Raw genomic sequence first — 7,523 nt, forward strand, 5'->3', positions numbered from 1 at the left:
AAATAAAAAGTTTCATATCACTGACCTAGATAATCTTTAAAGTTTTTCCAACTGTATTATGTGATCTATGATCTTCATTATGGACAAACAAGAGAAAATGAGCAAAAGGCACTTTGTGAGGAATTTAGGTTACATTCAGAAAAGAATTTAACTGGAAAAACTATAACTTACTATAAAATAAGAAAATTAGGCAATTATTTCCCTTAAATAATTCAAAGATTGGCTAAAAGCTGCCTTTGTAAATACACATTCTGGGGTAACAAGATCAATTTCACTTAGCCACCAGACATTAGGACCACCTTGAGCATAGCCCTGAGTCTCTTTTGTGACTCAACCACTGTTTCTGCCCTCAAGATGCTCCCAATCTAATATGAGAGAAAATGCATCTCAAATAACTGAGACACAATTAGAAAATTATAAATGCTATACAAGATAGAGAATGTACAGAAGAGTGGTATGTGAGATCTGAGAAGGGGCAACTAATTTTTTGAGAGAAAAAATCACAAAATACTGAGAAACTGGCTTTTGAGCTTGACCCTGCAGCACTGAAGTGTTATAATTTGGAAATAGGGACATACAGGAAAGGTCATTCAGGTTGAGGAAATACAGTGAATCAATGATCTGAGGAGAGTGCTCTATTCAGAATGCAGCAGAAAGGCATTTATTAAGGAATTCATCTCTCATTTCTATTCTTTACCAAATATGTCCAATTTTCTGTTAAAGCATAAGGCAGAATCACGCTTCCTTGACTCTCAGAGATGATTATGTCATTTGTTTTCACCACAGAGATTTGAGTGGAAGCGAGATTGCATTTTTCTTACCTTGGCAACAGTGAAGTTGGCATTGGAGCCTTCCTCAAATTGGTTCTCTGCCTGATGATGCAGAGCTAAAGCCCTTCCTCAGCTAACCCATGACAGATATAAGCCGTTGTTGTTTTAGAGGGGTGTCCAGCCTTTTGGCTTTTCTGGGCCACATCGAAAGAAGAATTGTCTTGGGCCACACATAAAATACACTAACACTAACGAAAGCTGATGAGCTAAAGAAGAAAATTGCAAAAAACCTCATAATGTTTTTTTTTATTATACTTTAAGTTTTAGGGTACATGTGCACAATATGCAGGTTAGTTACATATGTATACATGTGCCATGCTGGTGCGCTGCACCCACTAACTCATCATCTAGCATTAGGTATATCTCCCAATGCTATCCCTCCCCCCTCCCCCCACCCCACAACAGTCCCCAGAGTGTGATGTTCCCCTTCCTGTGTCCATGTGTTCTCATTGTTCAATTCCCACCTATGAGTGAGAATATAAAACCTCATAATGTTTTAAGAAAGTTTACAAATTTGTGCTAGGCTGCATTCAAAGCCATCCTGGGCCAAGTGTTAGACAAGCTTGTTTTAAGGCGTGAAATTTAGGGGTTGTTTGTTACCATAGGAGGGTAGTGAGAATTCTAAGATGGCACCCATCATTCTTGCCCCGTGGCATCCACACTGTTGTGTAATTTCCTCCCCTTTAGTAACAACCTACTTGTAACCAACTGAATATGTCAAAGCTGAAATCACTACTGTGATTATATTATAGGATACAAGATTCCATCTTAACAGACTAAAGTAAGAATTCTCCTACTGGCTTTGAAAAAGTAGGCTTCCATGTTATGATAAGGCCTGCGAGTGAGCCAGAGGTAGAGGAATTGTAGGGGTCCATTGGGAGCTAAAAGCAACCTGCGGCTGATAGCCACAGAAAAGAATGTCCCTCACCTACAATGGCAAGCAATTGAATTTTGCTTACAGCCATTATGTAAGTTTGGAAGACAGCCCTGAATTTCAGAAAGGAAGGCAGTTCCCTACATCTAGATCCTAGTCTGTGAGACCCTGAACAGAGGACCCACTTAAATTATGCCCATAATCTCAACCCACAGAAGCTGCAAGATAATAAATATATGTTATTTTAAGCTGATAAGTTGGTGGTCATTTGTTACACATCAACAGAAAGCTAAGGGACTTAACATAACGTGGCCTCTCCTGATTCAGACAAAAAAGATGGGAATGAAGTCTAGAAAAGTATTCCAGATCTTTTTTTCAGAAGGCCTTAAATGCCCAGCTAGTGAGCCAGAGCTTTCTTGTGGGGAATGAGAGACTTTGAAGGTATTTGAGTAGAGAGACAGTTTGGTTGGAACAGTGCATTTAAGGGAATGATTTGCAGGCATATGAATGAAAAGATAATGTAAAAAGAGATTGCCACAGAGATATATAAGAATCAAGTAAATAGAGAATATTAACTTCTCTTATCAAATTACTCACATGTAGAAAGTAATCTATTCAGAGAAATTTTGCTGACATTCTTTTTTTTTTAATCAAATATAATGCTGTTTCTACCTGTAATTCTACTTTACATGATTAAAATACCCATGTCTGCCCCTGGAGTTAAAATGACAAATGTACCCAGTTGCACGCCTCCATGTTTTCACCAGGGGACTGTTCCATTTGTTAATAGGCATTGCTTTTTGCCAGGAATTTCGTTTTCAGCCCAGAGTAAATTGCCTTTCATCTATACCAAAATTTGAAGCATGTACAAAAGTGGTTTATGTTTTATTTACCACTTGTTCTGGCAGGGAGATGGTTTTAAGAGAGCTTAGATTCACTTTCTCATGTCACGTGGGCTGCCATATGAAACTGCACTGCAATCTTTTATTTGCCATGCTATAATGCTCATGAGAAAAAAAATATTTGGCTTGTGTGAATCTCAATACAAAAAGTACATTTAGAGATGCATCCAAAGTAGCACATTATAATGTTTCTTTGTTTCTTTCTTTCTTTCTTTCTTTCTTTTTTTCCAGGCTGGAGTACAGTGGTATGATCTCAGCTCATTGCAACCTCCGCCTCCTGGGCTCAATCTATCCTCCCACCTCAGCTTCCCAAGTAGCTGGGACTACAGGCTATTTTTTCTTTTTCTTTTTCTTTTTTGGTAGTTAGGGGATTTTGCCATGTTGGCCAGGCTGGGCTCAAACTCCTGGGCTCAAGCAATCCACCTGCTTCAGCCTTTCAAAGTGTTGGGATTACAGGCATGAGCCACAGTGCCTGGCTGAGAATTTTTCTTCTGCTGGTAAAGTTCCTTTTCACAGAAGAATAACCTGGCTTATCATAAGTTTTCTGGACTTTGAGGTCACTCTTTTCTTTTAAGCACTATAGCAGACATCTGTTGTGCTGAAGCCCATTGCTTATTCCTCCTACATCTTCATATTTCTTTTAGCAAGTCACCTTCAACCACATTTCTATCTACATAGTTTGGGTGGAACACCATTATAACGTGAAAGTGACTCTGGTGTAAGGTAATCAAAGTATTCCTTTCTCTAGGTCTACGTAAACTGGCCAAAGAGGGCCTTTTGAAGAAGCTAGTAAAACAACAGGCTCCTTCTCCCTACCTTACTTGAACTTACATGTATGTAACACCAGAGCTGCTGCCACCATCTTGCCATCATACAGATCTGAAAAAATTGCCAGTATAGGGAAGATGAGGAATACAGGTCCTGATGAAAGTGTGTGAGCCTTTAACTCCAACAAAGTCTGATAACAGTTATATCCCTATGTTCAGTTATTTTTATTTATTTGAGCCAATAAATGCTCTTTTACTATAATCAACAGCTGACTGTGTTTTCTTATACTTGCAACTAAGCCACCATTTTATTTTTCTACCAGAATCTTCCTTCTCCCAAGTGATTTCTGCCAATCTCTGAAGAATACATTCTGAGCACTTTCCCCTTCTATTGATGAACTTTATTTTTGCCTATAGTTGTTTCAGGATTGTGTGTATCAGATCTCACCCTATCAGAAGAAAATGTCTATTGCCAGTTGCCCTATCTCCATAATTCTGCTCCAAATGTGCACACAGATCTATTCCTTAATTCCCAAAGGACAATAATCCACACAAAGCAATTGCAATAGTCAATGTGTTTCCCATGGAAGAATGAATTTACAGACCACATATGGGCAATGTGTTACAGTAGGGCAGATTTCAGACTAGCATTTTATACTCTGCTTCATTGAATGAAATTACAAATTTACTGCCAGTTCACTTTGTTCTCCACTAGCACAACCTCAAGATTAAAAAAAAAAAAACCTCATTAACTGGCTGGTTTCTTTCACTAATAGGAAGCCAACCAGTTATATATAAAAGGAAAGTAAGCTAAATTAATCATTCGCCTCTATCTCTCTCTCTCTATCTACCAAATCTGTTTGTCTGTGTGTGTGTGCTAATGATGGCAAGAGGTGCTGGGGAGAAAGGTTGTTGGTAGCCTATTCCAAAACCATTCCTACTCTTTTCTTGCTGTCAGAAAACCCCCACACACAAACATACACACACACAAAGTTATAAATGCCAAGTTCCCAATTTCTCAGTCTCCTTGCAGCTTGGGCATAGTTCATAACTAACCTTCAATTAGTATATAATGGAGTAAAAAAAAATTGCCTAAAGTTGTTGAATCAAGAAATGTTGTGTTGGCATATTATTTAGATATATGAGGAACCACTGGAAAAAAGAAAAATAGAAATAGTTAAGAGAGATTTCCTTTGAGCAGTTCAATAAGGAATAGAAAAAGGCAAGCAGAGGACTGCAGCTTTTCATTATTAACTCCTGTATATTATTTGATTATTTGCCTTATACATGTACCCCTATGTATACACACACACACACACACACACACACACACACACGCACGCAGGCAGCAGCCAGCAGCCATTTCTTGTGGAAGTGACTGCAGTATATCTCTTAATCAGTCTATGCAAAAATGATAGTTGAGCTTTTGAGTGTTAGGTCCTGAATTAAAAGCTTTACACAGATAGTCTGACTTAATCCTCAGAGATACACTATGAATTAGTTACTATTATTATTCTTATATTAAAGGCTGGGAGACAGGCTCGTAAAGGTTAAATAACCTTTTCAAGGTCATGAAGCTAGTTGTTTAGGATAGAAATGAGATTCAAACTGAAAATCCATACCTTAAGTGCTGAGCAATACTGGCTTCCAGATCATTAAAGATGTCCTACCCTGTCCTCAGGAAAGGCCTTCTTTGAAGCAAGTATCACTTGAACCTCTCCAGATTCTGCCTAATGATTTTATCTGCAGTGGTGTTGCTCATTTCTTGAGCTATAATAATGAAAATAGAAGGAGTTTAAGATAGCTCACATGCACCCAAATGTCAGCACACAAACACTTTCCTGTGTTTGAATTTATACAATATGAATGAGTATTCTGGTTGAATTGAATGCCTTGCTATTTTCGATTAGTCACTGAATTTCTTGCTTTTCAGCTCTGTTACACAACTTCAGTAAGCCTGCATATATACTATTGAGTAGTTTCATGTAAGCATCAGACAACACTCTTGAAATTTTTTAATCATCGTATGTTAGTAATAGTGGCATACATACTGCAAGTTGTCCAGTTAGTACCCGTGTGTATATTAAAAAGAGAAAATGGTGTGTCAAATTGAATCCTCCTAAAAGGTTTTTTTTTTCTTTAGAAAAAAAGATAGGAATACTCTTTATACTCAAAAATAAATAAACAAATTTTATCTTTTATTTTGTACATTCATTTTCTTTTTCTTTAGCTGAGATGCCATAAAAACCATCCAGCTCAACACTGGAAATGAAAATGGATGTTAGAGTGTGATAATGGCTAAGAATAAAAAGAGACTATCCAGAAGTCACAGATATTTCTTACAAAAAACCGAAAGTAAAAAAAAAAAAATAGTAATAATGTACTGCTCCAAGAAGCCCCACGGCTGACTTAGTTGAGGCATTTTTTCACTTTGCTCAGGGGAAAATAAACAACTGATCATCTGCATATTCTCCAGCCCCCTTGCTGGGAGAATCTGGAGATGGTCCTCTTCACTACCCACTGAAAAGTAGCTCTGACCATGAGGTTCCATGGGGCAAGCCAGCGGCACTCTGCACAAGCAGCAGCAGGAACACCCATCTCAAGCAGGCAAGACACTCAGTGGTCTGGCCTTATCTTTCAGCCTCACCTCAGCTCCTACCTCTTCTCCTGTCCACTGGGTTCCAGCCAGGCACAGTCTTTCTTTTCCTCTGACCCCCAAGGTGTCTCTTTTGTAATCACTTTCTTCAACTTAGAGAGCTTCTTTCCAGGTTCTTTGCATATTCTGGTCACATCTCAAATGTCACCTCCTCAGAGAGACCTTCCAGGACCCCTCTCTGAGGTGCCAGACTTCTCCCACACACATATTCTCTATCTCATTTCTATCTCTTATTTTCTTCCCCTAATCTTTCAAAAAAAGATTAAAATAAGACTACGAGGGAAGTTTTTGTTTTCAAGGCCAAGGATGGTCCTTATTCATTTGGCTTGGGTAATAGATTCTTGGGTCATGAAATGCCAGAGGGTGGGGAATTCAGGACCTGGCTCCAGTTTATCTTCTGCCGTTCGAGGGCTGTGTGGCTTGCAGTGAGGTTTGATTTATATGTTTGGAGGTGGGGATGGGCAGATGGACTCTGAGAATCTAAACTATCTACCTTTACACAGCTTACTGACTATAGTGATATTGCCTTCACCAGCCTCCTGTCTTCGTCAGCATAGCTTCACTATTCCAGGAAATTTTGCCCAGAAAGAAAAAAAAAACACAAATAACTTTTTCACTGTAAGAATTTTCTGAAAGACCCATGAACTCTTCAGTAGAAAACATAAGCCAACTCTTTATACCCCAAGATGCTTCTAATCTCTTACCATAAAATCCTTGCCTTGCTGTGTCTACCAATTCTAAACTATTACATCATGATCCTTACCTAATCCTAATAAAAAAGACCCTAACCCATTGAAGGACACACTTTAAACCAGACTTCAGAGTCTCAATAAATATTACGAATTTGCTCTTCCCATTCTGAGATGCAATCAAAACTGTCAAGATAATGTGCTATAACAACAGTAAGTGATGAACTCAGCTTTTACTTATTAACAAGTTGTTCTAATATTTGAGGCAGCCAGCAATGAGCTATATGGCTTAGATTAAATCCTTCCTGTCTTTGGGGCTTATTTATAAATTAAGGAGGTTGGACTCAATAATTATTAAGGTACCTTCCAGCTTTGATATTAAGACCCTTTGGGAAGGTAATTCCTTTCCCTCTTGGTGGTCTCTTTCCAAGCTGACAGCTTCTTAAAGAAAAGGACAATTGCCTCCTGTCGTTATTAGAAAGTGGACACAGGTCAGGTTCCTGGGGTGACAGGGAGTTCAATGGTTGAGTTTTCAATAGCTAGCTTTATACTTTCCTGCTGCTTGTCAACTCCAGGAGAGAAAGGGTGGCCATTGTTTGTTTTGTCTTGCTACACAAAAGCTAGACCAGTATTGGAGGGAAGAAAGAGGCGCTGCCTTCTTGGCCAAGAGCCACACTGGTTACCTGAATGGAGTTTCATCTTGAGGATGCCTCTTCTTATCCCCATAGGGAGACCTTTGCCTGCAGCCACAGCAGTGAATCGCTAATTGTCTCCTGTGCTCATTTGGCTGCACAAACAGAAGCAC

The 7,523-nt window shown here is 38.9% G+C and overlaps 1 annotated feature.

The window, feature by feature from the left end:
- Positions 234–403: an enhancer, noted in NCBI's record as "experimental_83487 CRE fragment used in MPRA reporter constructs". NCBI's record gives its function as "activates a minimal promoter by MPRAs in K562 erythroleukemia cells, with activity observed for the non-introgressed 5:152583794 variant allele {active_cell/tissue: K562}" and the evidence as "EXISTENCE:reporter gene assay evidence [ECO:0000049][PMID:34662402]".

This window comes from Homo sapiens, chromosome 5 (genome assembly GCF_000001405.40).
Source record: "Homo sapiens chromosome 5, GRCh38.p14 Primary Assembly".
Lineage (NCBI taxonomy): Eukaryota > Metazoa > Chordata > Mammalia > Primates > Hominidae > Homo > Homo sapiens.